At 41.0% G+C, this 23,027-nt stretch overlaps 2 long non-coding RNA genes across 3 annotated transcripts in view; one reads left to right on the forward strand and one right to left on the reverse strand.

Annotated features, from left to right (window-relative positions):
* LOC105375753 (uncharacterized) overlaps positions 1-801 on the reverse strand; it is an 80,166-nt gene extending 79,365 nt beyond the window's left edge. Inside the window, exon 1 of one of the 2 annotated variants that reach the window (XR_928636.3) lies at positions 716-797. This is a non-coding gene — a long non-coding RNA (uncharacterized LOC105375753). Of the gene's footprint in view, positions 1-715 lie in introns of both variants that reach the window. The other variant, XR_928638.3, reaches the window with a different exon arrangement.
* LOC105375751 (uncharacterized) overlaps positions 1-23,027 on the forward strand; it is a 463,156-nt gene that overhangs the window by 288,284 nt on the left and 151,845 nt on the right. The window lies entirely within an intron of this gene.

The raw sequence follows: 23,027 nt of genomic DNA on the forward strand, positions 1-23,027 counted from the left end.
CTGTCACCAGTTGTCACATAAGGCCACCGGTTGTCACATACTTAATTCTTAACCAGGCTGGACAGATTACAATTGCAAATTATTTAAAAAGTGTTTCACCCTGCTCAGAAGCCAGACCTATTGCTTAAAGCTACACGCCCCAAATCTTCACAGACTTCCTGACTGCTTAGACCAGCTGTTAGAAAACTCCAGCCTGTAGGCCAAATCTGGCCACTACCTGTTTTTGTAAGTAAAGTTTTATGGGAAAACAGACATAGACATTAATTTATATATTGCCTATGGCTGCCTTTGTACAAAGTTGCAATAGATCATATGGCCTGAAAAGCCGAAAATATTTACCATCTGGTCTTTTACATAAAAACTTTTCAATCCTTGGTCTAGATTGTTACTTGGGGCCCTCCCAGGGGCCATGGAGCATACATACGCAACAAAGAACTTCCACGAAGCCCTGTGATATGTTCTACAAGGTCCCTTTCTACCCATAGCCTCGCCTTTATTGATGAAATCTCAGCAACCTAATGACTACCTTTCTGAACCGTCTTGGTCATTTCGGAGGCTAATAATATTTTCATTAGATGAAGTGAATTTTACTTCAAGGATTTTGTTGAAGGGTTTATTATATGAAAGTGTATCCTAAGTCAAGCTCCATGAGACATGACAGCTTCTTTATTAAGCACTGGGTATCTCTTCTCCCCTTGCCCTTCTGCATTCTTACCTACTGTTAAATATGGTTAGTTTTGCCCTAAGTTTGCATGGGTTGGTCACTTTCTTCCTGGATCCCTGAAAGCAGGCCTAGAACAGCTGGGCCAAGGGCTGAGGGCCGCTTCCAGAAGCAGATTCTTCTCCCTTCCATTTCTGTTGTTGTTGCCCAGCAACAATTTGAGAGGCCCCAGAGAGATTCCAAAGGCCTGAGGACTTGGCACAAAATGGTTTGTGAGCCATTATTGCGAATGATCCCTGAATTATATTTTTCATTGCACCTTTCAATTTCACATATGCTTGTATACTCACATACTCCTGGGAAATTCAAATAATTTGCACAATAAGAAGAGACTTGGTGTATATATTCTTTGCCAAAGAGTTTTTACTGGGAGACAAGAACAAAGTATGACAAAAGGCTGTCATCATAATATGTGTTTCTGCGGGGGGAATAATTTCAAAACTGCTTTGATAGGAAGACTGATCTGATGCTTAAGCCCACGAAGTTTGGAGTTAAAGCACCTGGCCTTGAAATAATACTACTGTCTATTTTATAGGTTGTTGTGTCAATGAAATAAGAACCTTTATTTTGTAGCTTAAGTCAGTACTCTAAGAAGGCTGTCATTGTTCATGGTGATGATAGTATTATGTCCAGAAGGATTAAATTAGGGCATTACACGTGTGTTTTTATAGGTACACGAAGTCAGAAGGAGAGTTTGGAAAGTGATCAATTAATTGCATCTATAGCCCCACTTACTGGCTTCTTGTTATTCTTGACCTTATCCTGTAATTTGTAGTCTCTGCCCTCTGCCTTTGGACAGAGTTGTGCTTTTCCTTGATCACTAGGATGTTACCAAATGTGCCTCAAGTGGATGCTTACAAAGATCTTGAGTGTCTCTCCATCTCCTCTTGAGTGAGCTTGCTTGGATTTGGAAACTTGCCAACTACATGGAACCAAGCCTGGACTAGTGTGCTGGAGGATGAGACAAGGCATTGCTGAATTGGCACAGCCAAGGTCATCCAGCACCAGGCCACCCTCAAACATACGAGCTAGAAGGTCAGCCACAGTGAGCATAACTGCCTACCTAACACTCAGCTGACCACAAATGCACGAGTGAGTCCAGTCAAGATCAACCAAACCTAGTCCAGATTAGCAGAAATTCCCAGATGATCTATAAGTTCATGAGATGTAACACATGGTTGTTATTAAAGCCAGAACATTATGAAGTGATTTGATGAACAGCAATGTGTAACTAATAAGAAAGCGTATACAGTATCTATTTAGTACTAGTAAATGATTAATGCAAGAAGAGAATTTAAACTCTTGTGGGATTATTAGATGCTTTTCTTCCCTGTACAAATGGTCATGGTCCAGAAGCCTAGAAATGAAAACCATGTTCAACTTAGCAATTGCTTCCTTTGTTATAAATACCAACTCAGTCCATAGAGATGGTTAACTAATAAATAAAGCAATGGTTAGTCAATTAAAACTGAGGATCTATTCTGAGTATTTCCCACTGATTACAGAAATGAAGTCTCCTGGAAAGGAGCACACCTAATTCAGGCTAAAAATAGTACAACTAAATATCTGGAAAACAGGACATGTGTTTGAAGGAAAATATTCAACCAAAAAAAAAAAAAGTGGTTTTCTTCTTTTATAGACAACACTAATTTCCTGAATGCTTGTGTCAGCTTTTTGGTGACAAGAAAGGATGAGTAAGACACTATTATGGTTTAAAGTACAGCGAGAGAATAGTAAATTTACGAAGGCAGAAGTGAAAAGTAGAAAGCGAAGATGATATAGGTGAGTGGGATGTTGTCATCAGCTTTGATGCTATGATGCTTTGTGGATGATTCAGCTCTGGATGATAGGGTTGAACAGTTCTGTACCTCCTTGGCAAAATTCCAGTGTTCTGAGCATTTGAAAATAAAAGCAGTAGAGAAAGAGCTTCAAGTGTGCTCTCACAGTAGACCTGCAGCAAAATTGTGAGGTGCAGATTGTTGGAGTTGGTAGACATCTTGTGAAAGGAATCAGAATATGTTGTAGGCAGTATACAAGCATATGTCATTCATCCATTTATTCATGCAGTGCTATTATAAGATATAGTATGAGCCATAAGGGTGGCATAAAGTTTTCATCTATCTGTCAATTTAGTTAAGATATTTATTGAGTTAGATAATGTGCTAGACATGAGAGATACAAAAATGAAAAGGAACATGGTCTCTGTCGTACAGGAATTTACCAGCTAGACAGAAGAGACAGGGAAAGAAACTGGCGTTGATCATACTGAACGCCATCATGAAGGAGGTTTGAGATACTGCTTTTTCCTCTCTGTGAAGTCCTGAGTCCATGGAAAGGCCGAGGGGAGAAACATCGGCAGCAACATGGCAGCTCTATTAGTGATGGAAACTGGATTGGGAAATGCGATATCACATCTGTCACCTAGAGGTTTTGGCAACAATATTTCGGCCTAGAATTCAGCCCAGCACATTCAGTGTACTGTGCTTACCCAGCCTCTGGCAGAGTGGGACAGCTGAAGCTTCCTGGAAAGGAAGAAGCTCTTGTTACCCGGTGGAAAGCAGATCGCAATGGATACTTCCTGCAGTCAGTCAAGCTTCTGAAAGTAGAGAATCAGGGAGGAGCTAAGAAAAGCAGCGGTCAAGATAAACTAAGCCCCTTATCCCCAGCCCACAAATAAAATGCTTCAGTCTTTCTTCCATGGGAATGAAGTCAGGGATACAGAAAGAAACCAAATATGTTTCTCTCAGTGGTGTCTATAGAAAAAGGAAGTCAAAGAGAGATGAGGGTTCTCCCCTAATGTCTGAGATAACACAGCTGGAGGCCCTAATCTAACCTGGATTTGGGGATCAAAGAAAGTTTCACCAAGGTGAAAACACATTCTTCTGGCTCAGGAGGAGTTGTAGAGGTGAGAAAACAGTGAGTTATTGGGCTTCAGACAAGACAGTGATCAAGAATGGGTTCACAAAAGAGGCATTATCTAAAAACAGTCTTGATTGGTAGATATATTGCAAAAACTGAAATGGCTTGGCAAGCTCATTCAGTGCGGAAAACAGTTACCTGTCATATAATAGGAAAGCCCATGTCCTAGGAAAATGAGTGCCAAATTCAGCAAGTCTTTGGAGAATGTATAAGAGTGTGGGGGATAAGATAACAACTCTGTTTGGGGCCAGGTACTAGAGCATCTAGGATGCCAGGATAGTGAACCTGTTTTCTTTTCTTCTTATTCTTTTTTTTTTTTTTTTTTTTTTTTTTTGAGATGGAGTCTTGCTCTGTCACTCAGGCTGGAGTGCAGTGACGTGATCTTGGCTCAGTGCAACCTCCGCCTCCCTGGTTCAAGCAATTATCCTGCCTCAGCCTCCCGAGTAGCTGGGATTACAGGCATGTGCCACCATGCCTGGCTAATTTTTGTATTTTTAGTAGAGACGGGGTTTCACCATATTGATCAGGCTGGTCTCAAATTCCTGACCTCATGTGATCCACCCACCTTGGCCTCCCAAAGTGCTGGGATTACAGGCATGAGCCACCGCTCCCAGCCTGAACCTATTTTCTTTATACTCTATCACACCTACCTGACCCCACTGCAGGATTCCAGTGACAGGTGGTGAGGTCCTGGTATGAAGCAAGGGAACTGGGGAGATGGACAGAGGAATACAAGTGCATAAAGCAGGAAGGCCAGGAAGGCAGAATCTATGGGAATGATCATGATGAGGATTACTGAATGAAGACCAACAGTGAGACAGTAAGATGTTTGAGGAAAGGGTGATTTAAACAGAAACTAGAACATCAGTGCCATGGAGACTAGTCTTCAGTTCTCTGAATGCCCAGTTTAAGGAACCAGCATTCCTTTAAAATAGAACTATTCAGAAGACAGAAAAGTGGGCAAGGCATAAAGATGTGTTGAATCTATACTTAAAGATTATGGCTAAGTTCTGAGAGTGGATGAAATCGCTCTCTCTCTCACACACACACACACGCACACAGTAGTAGAAAAAAAATAAAAAGAAGGTGGCCAAGGAAAGGAGCTTGGAGAAACACCCCTTCTTAAAGGGCAGGGGCAAGCAGAGCATCCCTCAAAGGAAAAATAGAAGATACAGTTAGTTTGAGAGATTTCCAGAGTGTAGTGTCACTGAAGTGATGGACGTTAGATAGACATTTACCTGCAGTGTTGGTATATTGGCATGGATACACCCTCAATTTTATTTTTCTCCAATTTGGCTTTTCTTCTTATCTGCAAAATGGGAAGCAAAATTTCTGTTCCAGTATTTGGTGACTGAGAACCTGAATATTTAAGGATAAAAAGAATAATATTTTTAGGTATCAAATTAGCTATCAATTGATTTTATTTTACCATTTCTACCTCCTGCATCTGTCTGCTAGTTTAACACAGGGAAGGGGCAGTGGAGGGATGGGTGCTCTCTGGGGGAAGGAGGATCTCACATAGGGAAAGACTCCCTCTCTCTGAGCCCAGAGGACTGAGAAGGATGTCAGAGATGGAGGAGAAAGGCAGCCAGGGCTGTAACTACATCTCCTGCTCTCGAGGGGGTGATATGCTGACTACATTGGGGGACTATATGGGGCAAAGAGCTCTAACCCACCTCTCCACTAAGGACTCACAAAGTACACCAGAAGGCAGAGAAGCCAACATATGGAATCCCAGCATGGTTTAAGAGGATGGACTGGCATAGAGAGAGGGTTTCATTAGCAGGCCTGAGATTCCTTAGGTGACATACAGCAGAAAGGAAACTAGGTTTCCAGCCCTTGGGACTGCAATGGGCCCACTAAAGTGGGATTGAGGAGATCCTTCAAGAGACACTGAGAGATGACCTCTGGGGTCAGTGTTGCTGTGGGGATGTGGCATGACTCAGAGAGGTCTGTATTTCATGGTGTCATACCACCTAGAAATAATTACTCCCTCTGATTTATGAAAAGATCAAGTCCTTGCACTTAGAGCAAGAGCTTACACATGGTAGGAAGGTTCTTCAATTTGACTTCATAGCATCGTAAATTTCCCGATATACAATGGCTGTCTTTGTTTCCCCTTCTTCATCAGATCCCTTGCTGTAAGACATAGGTTCAGCCTGATCCTGGCTTCTAACTTCACATCCTCTTTTCTGGCCTTAGTAGAGAAGTAAGAGCTATCCTCACATGCCATTGAGGGACTCACATGCAATCTAGAGCAGGAAGCACTGCGCAGAGCTAACAGCAGAGACCCAGGAGTCAGACTTCCTGGACTGGACGCCTTGTTTCATGTTTCCTTACTTTGTGACTTTAGGGACTTTAGGGACTTTTCCTTGTCTATAAAATGGGGTAATATGAGTAGATAGCTCCACTCAAAGAGTTGTATAAGGAAGAAGATAACTAGCCATAAAGTTCTTAGCATTAGAGTGACTTGCTATAATTATAGTAGAGATTCTACAGATGTTAGCTCTGTTATGTTTCACAGAAGCTTCTACTACCCTGTTGGCATACTCAAGCCTAGGACTAGAGTAAGTTTTGGACTTGGACAAAGTGAGAACTGAGGAGGATTTTGGTGGAGGGCTAAAACGGGTGGTGGAGCCATTGGTCTCAAGTGGGCTGAGAAGAGTTTATTATTCAGGGATGTCAGCATCAACAGCACTGAACAGCCAGGGTTGAAGCAAAACCAAGCAGATTTGATGAGGTGCCACCCAACACACACCCAAAGATTAGGCATGAGAAGCTGCCCTCCGCATGGGACCATGGGGTCATGCCAGCTGTATTCCTGCACAGCCAGGGAAGTGCTGGTGAGAAAGAGACCAAGAAAAATAGCAATGATTTCAAAGAGATGGCCTTAAGTATAGATAAATGATTTAACTATTGATAATATTCATTTTTCAGTTAACAGGGAGTAACTTCAGTATTTTTCTTTAAATATTTAGCAAGTTGGAGTGAGGGAGAGTAAAACAGTAGGGAAATAAAAGAGCCACACATGCTTTCCACATTGAAATGTAACATAATTCTATGTAAGTTTGAGCTCTGATTTACCAAAATTCCTTTACTATTTCCCTAGCCCATTGCAATCTCATGATTAGGATGGTAAGCCCTGTGGAAGATGGGTGCATTTTGTATTGTTTAGTGCTTAATTTGATGTCTGGTGAATAGTAGGTATTTGATAAATAATATGAGAAATGAATGTTTCCTTCCACTGTTTAGCATATCCACTTTTAACCAAGGGCCCTAGCAAAATGTGGAAATATTGACATTTGGTTTGGGGTCATCTTCTTACTCCCTCTCCAATTCTATCCCTCAGAATTTGTGTCTCTGTCTTTCTGCAATCAACTTTAAATTGGAAGAAAGGATCAGAGTCTCATTTACACTAACATAAAAAACAATGTAATATGTCATGTCTCCAACAGACGTTTGTTCATTAACTGGTTCCAATCCTTGGCCTTGGGGTGGTGTTTCTGCCGTGGAGTGGGATCTATGGGAGCAGTTGGAAGGGAGATGTTCCGTAAGTTGAGAAACACTCAAATTATGCCTCAATGGCACTGAGTGATTCTGCTTAGGTGAATGTGCTTGCTCCAATAGTAAGCTTTGCCTGTAATAACTAACTAGTAATACAGAGGTTTTCATGGCAGACACAGACAACACTCTCTCTTAATCCCCAAGAAGGGAAAAAAAATCTAATCTTGGAGTTTTAAATTTCCACTCAAAATGAGCTTTTTCGTTTTGTTTTGTTTTTTTTTAAGTCCAGTTTCATTGCTTCCTTCTTGTGAATGAAAGATCACACAGGCATGGGTTTCTGAAGGTTATCTATAGTTTTGCCTAAAATGGTTATAATTGGAGCAATGAAATAGTGATACCTGCAAAGCCTGAATAACATTATAGCATTATGCAAAATGAAGGCACTTTAGAAGAATAAAGGAACGATGACAATGCAAATCAGAGCCAGTGAAGGTCACACGTTTTGCATAAAGTGCCTTGCAGTCTAATTCATGTGAACTTCGCCTGAGGAGAGGAAAGTGACTTATTAGAGCACAATGCTTTTTCAAAGAGCATTACTGCAGAGCCCTGGATCTGCTTACACATCCCACAGGCGGCTGCAAGAACTCGGTGAGGAGCTGGGTATAGGCATAGCTGAGCTGAAATTATAGAACCTTTGTTCAGAAATAAAATATCCCAACTTCATCATTGTACTCAGGCTGTCTTTCTTAACCCTTTGATGGCTGAACTGAATGAGAGTTGCTTAGGGAGCAGGGCCAGGCAGTTATTTAAGGGCTGCCATGTTTATTACCTCCTTTTATTCTCAAAGTAATTTGAAACAGAAGAGTTGATTTTTGTCCTTTTTACAATTTAGGATATTGAGTCTCAGAAGTAAAATAATTAGCTTATGGCACGTATAGGTGTTGTAGCTGACATTCAAGCTCTGTTAGATCCTGAGGTCCAAGGTTATTTCACTGTATCATGCCATCTAGAAAGAATTACTGTTGGTGCTTTATGAAAGGATCGAGTCTTTGCACTTAGAGCAAGGGCTTACACATGGTAGGAAGGTTCTTCAATTTGACTTCATAGCATTGCAAGTTCCCTGACCTCCAAACTCTGTCTTTGTTTCTCCTTCTCCATCAGATCCCTTGCTGTAAGACATAGGTCCAGTCTGATCCTGGCCTCTAACTTCCCATCCTCTTTTCTGGCTCAGTAGAGAGGATAATGCTTTACTTCATGATGCCGTTCAGGAATCCAAATGCAATCTAGAGCAGGGAGCACTGTATAGAGCTAAGAGTAGGGACCAAAGACTCAGACTTCCTGGACTGGACCCCTTGTTCCACGTTTCCTTACTTTGTGACCGTAGGAAATTATTTTGTCTATAAAGGAGGTAATACAGATAGGTAGCTACCCTCAGAGTGGTGTGAGGAAGAACATAATTTGCCATTTAAAGTTCTTAGTATCATTACTTACATTGTAATAAAGGTTCTATAGATGTTAGCTCTGTTATGTTTTACAAAAACTCCTACTACCCTGTTGGCACACTCAAGCCTAAGACTAGAGTACATTTTTCATCATGATCAGAGCCAAGAAAGAGTTTCTGCTATTACTGCAAAAAGGTTTTCTATGTGGCCAGCCTTGCACAGACTAGCCGGATCATTAGACTCACCTGAACTGCTAGGTCAACAGGCAGAGGCTGAGTCCTGCCTTGGAAATCCAATCTTCACTGCACATGAAAACTTGGAGGGGTTTAAAAAATATATTGATATCTGGTCTCCACCCAGGTGCCACCCCAGGCTAGCTAAAGCTGCCGGGATTGAGAACCACTGCACCATAATTTTAAAAAGCAGACTTTATTTTTTGATAAGGCAAGGACGTCAAGTTCAAGTCTTCACTGAGGAGCTTTCCCTTTAGGTACTGGGTGTAAAACCCTATAAATAGAGCTCATTTGGTTAGTTTGACATGGTTGCAGATACATGACTGGGGCAACTGGAAGACCTTCCTGCCCCTAGAAAGGGAAACTCTTTTTGTATAATTTACACACATAAATACTTCACAGAATAATACAGGAGAGGATAGAGGTATTGGTAATACTCTAAGTTCTATAATAATTCAGTAGAGAAAAAGAACAGATGTGTTAAGAAAGAGAGTAGGTTTTGTACTCCAGATGGTCTTCAGTTCAAACCAATTTTCCACTGCAAACCAATTCTGAGACTCTGAAAAAGTTATATACTATGGAGGATGTTAACTGTTTGGCAGGATTGTTGTGAGAATTATCAATACTAATTCAAATATAGCAAAATGTCTGGTTTATAGTAAGCATTTAATCAATGGTAGCTATAATTTTTGTGGGCTGAAGTCTTCCAATATGGTTTCCTGGATGAGCTCACTCAAAAAAACTTAAGCCTTAAGGAATGAGAAGTTTTAATATTCTGTTTGCCATAAAAACAGAGGAGAGAGAAGCAGAGGCTGTAACCAAGGCACTGAAGATAGAGAATGGTGATCTGATGGGATAGAGGTGTTAGTTACCTGCTTCACACCCACTTCCACCTTCTTTAGATACAACAACTTTTGCAATGTGCTTGATCCCAGGTGACAAATCATGATTGGTTAGTTGAATTAAGTCATGGATACCTTTTCCACCTTTATTTTATTTTATTTTTATTTACTTATTTTCATTTTTTATTTTTATTTTTGCCTTTCTTATAGGTAAGGGAGTTGATGGAACCCAGTTCAGACTAATGAGAGTTAAGGGGAAGTTGGCTGGTGGACTGAGAAGTTTTCTTTCTAGATAAAAAGGACAGATATCTCATTCCCTTTTTCTTCCTGCCTTTATTTAAAATTGTGGCTCTTGGAGCTATGGGAACCACTCTAGGAACCATTCTATAACCATAAGGGGATAGCAAAGAGGATAAAAGACCAATTTACTAAAAATAGTGAGGTTGAAAGATGGAAGGAGGAGGTGTTCTGATAAGTATCCTTGAGCTGCCACATACTTAGGACAATCTTTTTACACAATTCTTATTATATAAGGGAGAAAAATACAATATGGTCATGTATTGCATTAGGATGATTTGGCTGACTACAGACAGCATAGATGACAGAGGTCTTGTAAAATTATAATACTGTACTTTTACTGTATCTTTTCTATGTTTGGATGCACTAACAATAACCCTTGAGTTACCATTGCCTACAGTATTTGGTATAGTGAGTGACATGCTGCACGGGTCTAGGAGAAATAGCATATGCCATAGAGCCTAGGCATGTAGAGGCTCTACCATCTGGATTTGTGTGAGCACACTCTATGATGTTTGCACAATGACAAAATCACCTGATGACACATTTTGCAGAATGTATTCCCATCCTTAAGTGATGTATAACTGTATTTATATAAGCTACTGTTAGACCAATATTCTTTTATTTGCAACCCAAAGCATTCCCAAATTTTATACACATATGGCTAAAGCATTGATAATATCGCTTCCCTTCTCCTCTCTAAAGATCAGCGTAGTTCATCCTATTCCTATAGTTAACCTCATAGGTCTAAGAAAAGAAAGGCCTAGTAGGAAAAACCCTCTTTTGATGGAGAGTTGGGTAAGATACAGAGGAGAACTTGTTCACCTAGAGTATTTTTTTTTTCCCTAGGAAGCACCTCTCAAATGTGTCTATCTGTAATACACATTTCTTCTATGGATTTTAGAAAAGGCCACCGAAAATCTAGCCAAGTTAGAATGAACACTACCTACTTGAGACAAATGATTCATCCTATTTCTGGAAATCACAACCATGTCACCCAAAGGAAGAGAGCCAGTCTATTGTTTTAATACAATCTGAAGCATTCCCAACAGTTTGCTCCGTGCCCTTCTCCAAACCCTAAGAGTTAAATTCCTCTGATGGAAACCCAAGTGAGCTTGTGCACTCTGAGGGGATTGGGGTCACATTTTCTAAAGGTAGATGACTCCTTTGTCATTTCAGGTGTAAGCTATTGTACGTGAGCACCACTGTGTATGGCTGTTAGTACAAAATCTGCTTCTGTCAAGTTTCAGGGAATATAAGGGTATGAATCATACTGAAATTGCATATTCTCATGAAACCACCATGAAACCACCATGTCTGGTGTAACACACTGCCCATTGCTGCTCAAACATCAGAGGTTTTTTTGTTTTTTTTTTTCTCCTCCTGATCTAGGATTAGCCAGAACCATGTGTGCTGATAGATGGAGGATGTGGATATCCCACAATATATTCTACATGGCCTACAAAGACAGAAGTGCTCCAATTTTTCTCCCATCCTGATGTCATAGTGCTTGAAATGTCAGCATTCCTTTGCTTTTAGTTCTTCTCTAAACACATATGTTGCTATTGTAGGAGGTATATTGATGAGTTTACACTAAGGAACTAAGGTGTAAATGGTTAACTTCATTCTATTCCCCTGTCTGGTAAACCCAGATGAGTAGAGGCAGGAAGTTTTAGTCATACTACACTCTATATTCTTCTTTGTGCTACAAACATGACCTATACTTTTTTTTTAATCTGGATTCCTTTGATCACTATGTTCTTGCATGGACTGTGCTTCCTCTCCCATCTTTATCTTCCAACATGGTCTTGACCAGTCAGTGTTTAGCTCCATAACTCATGTGTTGGTTAATTCATTCACTCAGTCACTTGTTCAATTCTCACCATCCCAGCCCTTGTGGAGTCTAGAAAGAGACATAGAGGTTAATCAAAGATTCACACTATTCAATATAGCATTACCACCCTTGAAAGCATTATAATGAAGAGGCATTTGGTGCTATGAGAGGGTATCGTAGGGGTATTTTCCCTGGTCAGGGAAGCAAGGAAGGGCTTTCCTAAGGAAGTGAGGGTTGATCTATAACTGCAAGGGAAACAAGGGGTTAACTAGGCAGCCATAGTTGGCTCTGGGCACTCATAGGATTGTGGATGGTTAGGAAGATTAAATGAGACTGTGAATGCCTTTAGTAGGGTTCCCAGCACATAGTGCATGCTCAATAAATGGTGACTGTTATGATTACTGGTATCAGTTTTATTGATTGTGAAATGCAGCCATATTCAATAGTATAACCTTTTAACCTTTGTCAAGGTACGCTAAAGTCTTCTAGTTATAAAGTCTGACTCATTCATGACTTCAAATCTCATGAACTCATTTTTTGAACTCAAGAACTCCTTTTGGGGGGAACTCAATTTTTATGTCACGATATGGGAGGCTGAAAAGCCAACTGGACTGATGCCTCAGGCAAGATATTAGTCTCATTTCCTTTCCCTACCTCCTAAGACATGGAGTTTTGGCTTCTGACCTCTATTGTAAATTGAAAAGTAAAAATCTTACTTCAGTGTTTATCAAAATTTTAGATGTGCATTATCATTTGACCCAGCAAGTCTCCTTGTAAGAATCGAAACTTATACAAATACATATAAGCCTAAAAAAAGACAAGGGCAAGAGTGTTCATTTCAATATTTATAACAGCAAAATATTAGAAATCATTTAAATAACCATCAATTTGGAAATGGTTCTGTACATCTCTATGTCTTGTTTATGAAAGACTGTGCAGGAGTTAAAAACCATGAGGTGGATCTTATCCAGTAAGTCCAAGGAATATTTCAAAGTAAAAATGAAATGTCACATGTAGTGTGATCCTATGTATGAAAAATAAATTGAAAAGCAAAACAATATGTGTGAATAGTGTGATGGTCAACAGAGTATACTCCGATGTTAGACTACCTGGATTCAAATCTCAGTTCCCCCAGTCCTAATTGGTTAAGTTTGGGCAACCGTTTAACCAATCTGGCATCAGTTTCTTTATCTATAAATATGGATAAAAATAGTACATACCTCACAGGGATGTTGTGAAGGTTAAATGATTTAATAGGTAAAAAGTGCTTAGAACACTACTCTGCTCTAAGGGCTCACATGTGTTTATTATTTTTGTTGTTGTTTGTAATTTTTATTTTTAAATTGTAAATTAAGAAATTATTGAATATACTTATAAGGTACAAAGTGAGGTTATGATTTATGAATACAATGTGGAATAATTAAATTAGGCTCATTAACATATGCATCACCTCAAACACCATTTTTTGTGGTGAGAACATTTGAAATATACTCTCTTAGCAATTAAAAAATGTATGATACATTAATATACATGAATACTATATTCGCCACATTATACAATACAGAGTCTCCTTGACTTATGATGGGGTTATGCCCTGGTAAGCCCATTGTAAATTAAAGGTCAAAAATGCATTTAATGTTCGGAAATGGTGGCTCCTGCCTATAATCTCAGCACTTTGGAAGGCAGTGGAGGGCAGATCACTTGAAGTCAGGAGTTTGAGACCGGGCTGGCCAACACAGTGAAACCCCATCTCCACTAAAAATACAAACATTTGCCGGGCATGGTGGCGCATGCCTGTAGTCCCAGATACTCAAGAGGCTGAGGCATTGAACCTGGGAGCTGGAGGTTGCAGTGAGTCAAGATCGCACCATTGCACTCCAGCCTGGGCAAGAGATAGAGGCCATATCTCAAAAAAAAAAAAAAAAAAAAAGCGCGTTTAATACACTTAATCTACTGAAAATCACAGCTTAGCTTGGACTGCCTTAAATGTGCTCAGAACACTTCTATAGTTGGGCAGAAACATCAGGCAAGACAGACACGGTAAAGATTGGTGGTTTACCCCCGTGCATGGCTGATGGGAATTTACAGCTCTTGTTGTCACTCAGCACTGAGGGAGTATTGAACTGCAGGTCTCTAGCCCAGGAAAAGATCAAAATTCAAAATTTGAGATATGATTTCTACTGAATGTATGTGGTTTTTGGACTGTTGTCAAGTTGAAAAACCTAAATCAGGAACAATGTCTATCTCAGAGAACAAAAACTATTCTTTTTGTCTGATTGAGGCTTTGTACCCTTTGACCATGGTCTCCACATGTCTCCCATGCACCAGCTTCAGGTAAGCACCATTCTTCTATTCTCTGCTTCTTTGAGTTCAATTATGTTAAATTCCATGTGTGAGTGTGAATATGCAGTATTTGTTTCTCTGTGCTGACTTATTATTTAGCATAATGTTTTTCATTTCTATCCCTGTAGTTGCAAATGACAAAATATCTTTCTTTTTTAAAGCTGCATAGTATTCCATTGTGTATATGTACCATATTTCCATTGTCCACTCTTTGGTGATGGACACTTAGGTTGATTTTATAACTTGGCTCCTGTGAATAGTGCTTCAGTGAACATGGGAGTGCAGATGTCTCTTTAACATACTGATTTAAAAGCTTTTGGGGCCAGGCATGGTGGCTCACACCTGTAATCCCACAACTTTGGGAGGCTGAGGTAGGCAGATCACTTGAGGTCAGGAGTTCAAGACCAGACTGGCCAACATGGCAAAACCCCGTCTCTACCAAAAAATTCAAAAATTAGCCGGGCGTGGTGGCAGGTGCCTGTAGTCCCAGCTACTTGGGAGGCTGAGGCAGGAGAATCGCTTGAACCCAGGAGGTGGAGGTTGTAGTGAGCCGAGATCATGCCATTGCACTCCAGCCTGGGTAGCAGAGCGAGACTCCATCTCAAACACAAACAAACAAAAAGCTTTTGGGTAAATACTCAGAAGTGGGGTTGCTGGATCATATAACAATTCTATTTTTAGTTTTAAGAGAAACCTCCATACAGTTTTCCATGACAGTTGTACTAATTTACATCCCCACAAACAGTGTACAGGTGTTCCTTTATTGTTACTGTTATCATTATTAAATATATATGTAAGTGCATAGAAAAAGGGCTATAGAAAGACTGCAGATTTTCCAATAGATTCTGAATTAACAAAAACAGGTGATACCTATGCATTTATCGTAAGTTCCCATTTTATTTAACCAAGGATACAAAATGTAAGGGAGGCAAGCATGACCTCATGTTGCTCATCTTGTCACGTCTTTTGTTCTGGGGCCTTGAATCCTCATCAGAGCCAAAAGCTGAATGTGATACTCTCCACCCAGGTTGGGCTCTGCCATGTTGAGATGACAGCACTGAGAAGGTGCCTTGTGGGAGAGCTTTATGATTCCACAACTATGGGGTGGGGAGAACTTACCTTTAACAACCTGAATGTTTGGGTTTCAAGGGAGAGAGTTTGCAAACTTCAGGCTCTCCTGGATGACAAACTGAACTCAGTATTAGGAAGGCCACATTCTCCTGCCAGAGGAAGCAGAGTGGATACCCATGTGTCTTTCCAAAATAGAATACTGTGTGTAGCTTTCCAGCGATTCAGAAAGTCTGTTTCACCTCATTCTGCCCCTATCCCTACCCCACACCACAGCTCTGCTTGTATCCTTTTTTTCCTGGGTGATTTTGGCATTGAGTTTGACCCAAGGACATAAGTTAATTTTTCTTCTCCCATCCACTAAATTGTTAATTAATGGCGGGGAGAGAAGTGGGGGCAGGAGTTGAAGAATTGGGGGATTGACTGGAAGAGGGAAACCCACAGAGGGAAACTTTCAATGGTTACTCCTTATACTTCTTGGTGGTTTGAAGTGTTTGCAATGAGAAAATATTCATGTAGTAGTCACCTGTGTGTGCTTTTTACATATAAAAAGTTCTTGCTGTCTTTATATCATCTGTCTATGGAGGCTGACCTTTGGGTGGTGAACAGGATAACAAGAGGTCAAGTTCCACAGCTCCTTTTCTCATGATAACAGAATAACTTTATTTGCTTTAAAATTTTTAGTATGCAATTTTTCACATACAGAAATGTAGAGAGACTATTATAATGGACACATGCCTTGGTTTAACATTTACTAACATATTGCTGCATTTGCTTTATTTTTTGTTTGTCTGTTTTGCTCAGTATTTTATTTTTTTTGAGGCAATCTCACTCTGTTGCCCAGGCTGGGTTCAGTGGTGTGATCTCCGCTCACTGCAACCTCCGTCTCAATAGTTGAAGTGGTTCTCCTGCCTCAGCCACCCCAGTAGCTGGGATTACAAGCATGCACCACCACACCCAGCTAATTTTTGTATTTTTAGTAGAGATGGGGTTTCACCACGTTGGCCAGACTGGTCTCGAACTGCTGACTCCAAGTGATCTGCCTGCCTCGGCCTCCCAAAGTGCTGGGATTACAGACATGAGCCACTGCACCCGGCCTGCTTAGCATTTTAGAGTAGTTTATATTTTAAAGCAAATTACAGATATCACATTTTAACCTCAAATATTTCAGAATGCATATCTAAAAAGTAAGGCTATTATGTTACATAACAATAATACAATTATTATACCCATAAAAATTAACAGTAATTTCCTAGTGGCATGGAAGGCCCAATCCAAATTCAAATGTCCTTAATAGGCCCAGAAGTTTCCTTCATAGTTGATATATTCAGACCACACACTGCATTGGGGAGTCTTTCGTGGTTTTCTGTAAGGCCTCTGGAGGGCATCAGGATTATGAGGGATGCCTTGGTCCTCAGCCGGAAAGAGGCAGTTGGAGAATGGCTGTACTTTCCTGGGTGATGGTTTCCCATGGCAGAAGCTAAGGCACCTGGCACTCTTGCTTAATGACCAAGAACCAGAACAGGAACAAGCCTGTGATTACTCATTGACCTGAGCTGGGGATTGTGTGACCAATATGCAAATCACATGCAAATCTGAGAAAACTCCACCGACTCCCCTTAAAGGGGTCAATGAAAAGTGAAGAGCATCTATTAGTTTATTGCATCTGTTAGGAAAGAGAATATGTTCTTAAATTTGTGGAATTGAGGCTTTGTTGGTTTATAGCACTTTTAACTTCACTTTCCTTCTCCAGACAAGTGAATTTGGCAGGTTATCAACGACCCTCTGCTTAAACTTTGAAACTTAGGTTACTTGTCCTCAGCAGAAAATCTCCTTAGCTGATCAGTGCTATTGCCATACATGCACTGCCCTGATTGCCTTAGGACTCCCAAATTCAAGCCCTAATTCTGCCGATAACCCCGTATGAGCTTCATTCCAGCTTTAAAAATCACTCACATCCTCTGGAAAATGAAGGGGTTGACCTAATGATCTTCGAGTTGATTTCTGGTTCTAAAGCTCTAGGTATCCCTGAAAAGATCTGGCCTTTTTTCTTCAAATGTATCTCCTGGAATCTGATGGAAATTGGAAATTGAGGTCATAGATATTCCTTCAGTGTGCACTGCTGGAAAAAAAAAAAAAGGAAAACAGCAATCCTCATTCATTTTACTACCTATCTCCTCATAATTTTTTTCCCAGTTTTATTTTTTTTTGTTTTTATTGATGAGAAAGATTATTAATAGGACACTTGGATGCATTCATCCAAATTGAAGTTTTGATCCCTTTGAATGATCTTAAACACGTGATTTTAAGAAGAAAGTCTTGTGAGTGTTCCATGGCCGGACCTGATAACTCAATACTGGTTAAGATACCGGAACAAAACCAAACACCCTCAAAGATACAAGATTAGAGAGAGGACCTGGGTGTTCAGAGGACCTGGGTGTCTCAGCTTCCTGCACGATGTGCCAGTTTCTAACTTTGAACGCTGACAGGTGAAGGGAGAGTACATTCCTTGAGTCCTTGCCAAGAGCCAGGCCATACATGCATGGCTTTATTTAAACCATGACTATAAAAAGTAAATATTCTTAATCCCATTTTCCAGATAAAGAAACTGAGGTTTAGAAGACAGTTTTAATTACCCACTCAAGGTCACACAGAAACGAGCATCAGTGGATCCTGGCCCAGATGTGGAGCCAAAGCCCTCCCTGCTTCCCCTTCTCATTATCCGCTCTCCTGTGGTCTAATTTTCCTCTAAAAATGATAGACGTTGATGCTGGTCAAGACTAAGAGAATGTGGATACAACAGAAGTGGTGTCTGAGGTATTTTCTTTCCAGGTGTATTTGTTGGATGCTTGATTTTTGAGCTGCAGTCTTTAGCAGCCAAGTACAATTCTGTTGCTTAATATTAATGACCTAAGCTCTCAGTTCTCCGTTAATTCCAGGTCTTCACGCCCATACTTGTTCTACAGGGAGAGCTTTTCCCCTTCTTTATCTGGGTACCGCTTTCTCATTGCCCCCTTCGAGAGCTGCCTCTGACTCCTCAGGCTAGGCCAGGGCTCCCTGGTGTGCACCCTCCTAGTTCTTGGGCCTTCTCCTTTTGAAGCATGTGTTTATATACATGTAGTTGCTGTTTAGTATGAGACAGGTTGGTATGGAGATTCAGTAAGTTTCTGAGTTCAGATCCCAGGCTCCCTTACTTACTGGAGAGCCTGGGATCTGAACTCAGAAACTTACTGAATCTCCATACCAACCTGTCTCATGCTAAGCTGCTTCTATACAGCTGTGGACCAGGTTACTTAACCCTCATGTGCCTCAGTTTCCTCATCTGTGAAAGAGAGTTAATGATGGTACCTAATATCCATAGGATATTGGTGAGGATTATATCAGTTAATTCATGTGAAGTCCTTAGAACAGTGCCTGGCGTGTAGCAAGCACTCAATCATTGTTAGCTATCATTATTTTGTCTTGCTTTCCAGTAAACAATAGTTCTACTTGGGTGGATACTATAAATATATCTGTCTCATTTACTGTTGTATACCTGGTGTCTGCAGGCATTGCAGATACTCAAAAAGTATCCATTTTATGCTCTAATTACAACCTTTCTGTATCATGCCCTACTGAATATCTGCCACATGCTAGGCCAGATGAATATCTGCCGCGTGCTAGGCCAGAATATCTGCCACATGCTAGGAGCTTTCATATGTATGATTTCTCACAACTGTCATAAATTACTTATTATTGGCATAGCCATTTTACTGTTGAGGAAATAAAGGTTCAGAGAAGCACACTGATTTGCTTTGGGTCACACAGCAATTCAAAAGCTGGGGTAGTATTGAACCCCATATCTGGATGATTCTGGGCCCAGTGCTCTTTTCCTTCGTCTAAGCTGCCTCTTTGTGCCACAAAAGGACAATGGGCCTTATGTAAACCCTATGTAAATAGGAGGTTCTGATTTCATGAAACCAAAGCCAAAGCAAAGTAAGCAGAAGTTAACAAAAGAGCTACAGTCATCTGATATTTTATTTATTTTTTTCTTTTAAAAAAAGATACCTCTTCCTTCTTTCCTAGATACCAAAAGCAATGTTGATTTCTGAGCAGAGAACAAAAATCATGAAGGCCTCTTCCATGGAGTTCACAGATTTCTGGGTAGAGGACGAAACACCACTTTGTAATGCTTATTTGTTGGTAATTATGGTGGACCTCTTGAGCACTCTGAACTGTGAGAATTCGCAGCTTTGGACCATTAAGCTAGAAGACCTCTGAAGAACTGTTGCTATTGTACCAAATTAAGAACAGCGTATTTCAATGCTGCTCAAAGTTTAATGTGCACACGAATCACCTGGGAGCCGTATCACAAAGGCTGATTCTAATTGAGAAAGTTTGGGGAGGGACGTGAGATTTGACATTTTATTTTATTTCTATTTATTTATTTATTTATTTTTTTGTGATGGAGTCTCACTCTGTCGCCCAAGCTGAAATGCAGTGGCATGATCTCAGCTCACTGTAACCTCTGCCTCCCAGGTTCAAGTGATTCTCCTGCCTCAGCCTGCCGAGTAGCTGAGATTACAGGCATGCACCACCACATCTGGCTACTTTTTTTTATTTTTGTATTTTTAGTGGAGACGGGGTTTCACCGTGTTGGCCAGTCTGACCTGGAACTCCTGACTTCAGGTGATCTGCCCACCTCATCCTCCCAAAGTGCTGGGATTACAGGTGTGAGCCCTTGTGCTCAGTCAGATTTAGCATTTTAAACGAGTTCCCAGCTGATGCTGATGCTGCTGGATCAAGGACCACGCTCTGAGAAGCAAGGGTTTATGGGGCTTTCTTGGACTGCACTCTGGCCAAACGCAGTGACTCCAGTAAGGCGTGGCCTTTGCAACCACAGGAAGAGCAGAAGTCTGCTGTGGAGCCGCCTGCATCCAAGTCCAGCTCTGCTGCTTGATGGGAATGGGCCCTTGGGACAGATTCTTCTCTTGGAATCTGAGTGTTCTCAGGTATAGACGGGTGTTTTGGGTGTTGGGAAGAAGCAACGATTGGATGCAACTTATCTCTAAGGGCCCTTTCGATTCTAAGATTGCATGACTGCCTGACTTGTTCTAATGACTGCATTGAAGTTGAGATGTGTGTTTGTATGTGCATGTGTGTGTGTGTTTAGGAGGGAGTGGAGAGGAACTTGGAATCTTATGAAAGAGACTTCTAGGCAGTTGCTTTGGAAACCATGTTTGTGATAAAACTCCTTTGCTTTTTTTTTTTTTCCTCCTTTGTTGTCTAGTCCCATTCCACCAGGTGGCCAAGAGCATTTTGTATAAAATACTCCATCTCTCATGCTCCCCATCTCCCTGGATTCCATATTTTCTTTTGAATTTGTATTCTCTGGCATATTTAGGGCTTTTCGAAGTTTTTCGTGTTACTATGAACATTGAAGAGACAAAGGAAAGCAAGAGGAAAGGAAGGGAGGAAAGAAGGAAGGAAAACTTACTGTTCCTCTGTGCTTATTAACACAAAACTTTATGGAAACATGTTCTATCACACAGTGTTATTGGCATTGGACTTATTAGGTTGGTGCAAAAGATATTGCTGTTTTTGCCTTTAAAAGTAATGGCAAAAACTGCAATTATTTTTGCACCAACCTAATATTTCCATCAGGTGGGATTTTAGGAATATTATGAAAAAAAGATGTACCTTCACAAGTAGATAGAGCCTACCTCTCACAGGTGAGATTGTCATACTGACCATAGTCACTTTTTTGGACAATCTGTCAATGTATTAATACATTCAGGGCTGATTTGGCATCAGGTGCCATGGAAGGTGTCATAGGAGGTACAGAGGTGCATTGTACGTGGAACCACAGCTCTCAGCATGGTCGGGTCCCCTCTTGAGAAAGAGCCAGCAGACATATAAAATAGGTAGCATATCCTTGCCCTCTCATGAGATAGTCAAGCATTTCTCCCTCCCACCATTGAATGCCAGGCCTAACCTCATGCCCCTTGCTCCCTACATGGTATCCAACCTTGCCCTTGATCTTCATAGGCCCTGGCCTGGTTCTCATCACTTAGTCCTGATATTCTGTCTTGGCGCTCAGGATGAATGTTTAGACTCTGTTTGTTTTTCTCCTCCTTGACTTCAGTCAGATCTCGCTCTCTTTTGGGCTATACTATTCTAGACCACCTGAAAAATCTCCATAAGTCAACACTGCCCTGGGGGCTCCTGCATCCTATAACCTCATGGATCAGTGTATTACTTTCCTATTGCTGCTGTAATAAATTATCACAAAGGCAGTGGCTTAAGGAACAACCTTATTATCTTACGGTTTGGAGATCAAAAGTCCAAAATGGTTCTCAGTGGGCTAAAATCACGATGTCAGCAGAACTTTTTTTTTTTTTTTTTTTCCCTGAGATGGAGTCTTACTCTGTTGCCCAGGCTGGTGTGCAGTGGCACGATCTCAGCTCACTGCAACCTCTGCCTCCTGGGTTCAAGCGATTCTTCTGCTTCAGCCTCCTGAATAGCTGGGATTACAGGTGCCTGCCACCGTGCCCAGCTAATTTTTGTATTTTTAGTAGAAACGGGGTTTCACCATCTTGGCCAGGCTGGTCTCGAACTCCTGACCTCGTGATCCACCCGCCTCGGCCTCCCAAAGTGCTAGGATTACAGGTGTGAGCCACCACGCCCGGCCAGAACTGGGTTCTTTTCGGAGGTTCTAGGGCAGATTGTTTCCTGGCCCTTTGCAGTTTCTGAAGGCTGCCTGCATTCCTTGGCTGATAGTCCCCCTTCTCAATTTTCAAAGCCAGAAAGGGCCCAGTGAGTCTTTCTCATGGTGTCATCTCCCTGGTTGTAAACTTTATGCCTCCTTCTTCATTTAAGGATCCTAGTGGTTACACTGGGCCCACTGCCTATTCTAGTATAATCTCCCTACCACAGATGCAGCTGATTTGCAAAGTTGATTCCATCTGCAACCTTAATTAGCTCTGGGAGAAGATTCCACTCAGAGTTGGGCAGGAGGTAGCTTGAGAGGCAACTGGCCAGGGAATGTAAAAGAGGGCTCAGAAGCATTCTTGTCTTTATACTATACATTTGCTCTAACCTACTTCACAACTTTGGCAAGAAGTATATCTTGTTGAAAAACATTACTCTGAGACTACAACAGAAAATTCAATATGTAGCAATTGCCATCAAAAGGACAAAACAAACATGCATTAAATATTTAAACTACAGCATAAGAAACATCTATTATTAAATGCAACATAGGTTATCAGTGCAATAAATAACAATAATGAATAGTTCTCAATGTTCTGTAGGAATGAGCTTTATGTCAAACAATGAGCTGAGTATTTTACATACAGATTATCTTTTAATTTTTAAAACAACTATGAGGTAGGTGCTATTGATATTTACTTTTTAATTTTTTTTTTTAGATGAAGTCTTGCTCTGTCACCCAGGCTGGAATGCAGTGGCACGATCTCGGCTCACTGCAACCTCCGCCTTCCAGGTTCAAGTGATTCTCCTGCCTCAGCCTCCCAAGTAGCTGGGACTACAAGCATGTGCCACCACGCCCAGCTAATTTTTTGTATTTTTAGTAGATACAGGGTTTCACCGTGTTAGCCAGGATGGCCTCGATCTCCTGACTTCATGAGCTGCCTGCCTCGGCCTCCCGAAGTGTTGGCTCATTACAGGCATGAGCCACCACTACTGGCCTGATATTTACATTTTTAAACAAGAAAATATAGACTTAAAGAGGCTTGGTATGTTGCAAAAGGTCACAAAGCTGTATATGGTGAGGAGGAATTTGAACCTGGGTTTGATTCCATCACCCGAACCCAACCACTAGGC

Source organism: Homo sapiens, chromosome 8 (genome assembly GCF_000001405.40).
Source record: "Homo sapiens chromosome 8, GRCh38.p14 Primary Assembly".
Lineage (NCBI taxonomy): Eukaryota > Metazoa > Chordata > Mammalia > Primates > Hominidae > Homo > Homo sapiens.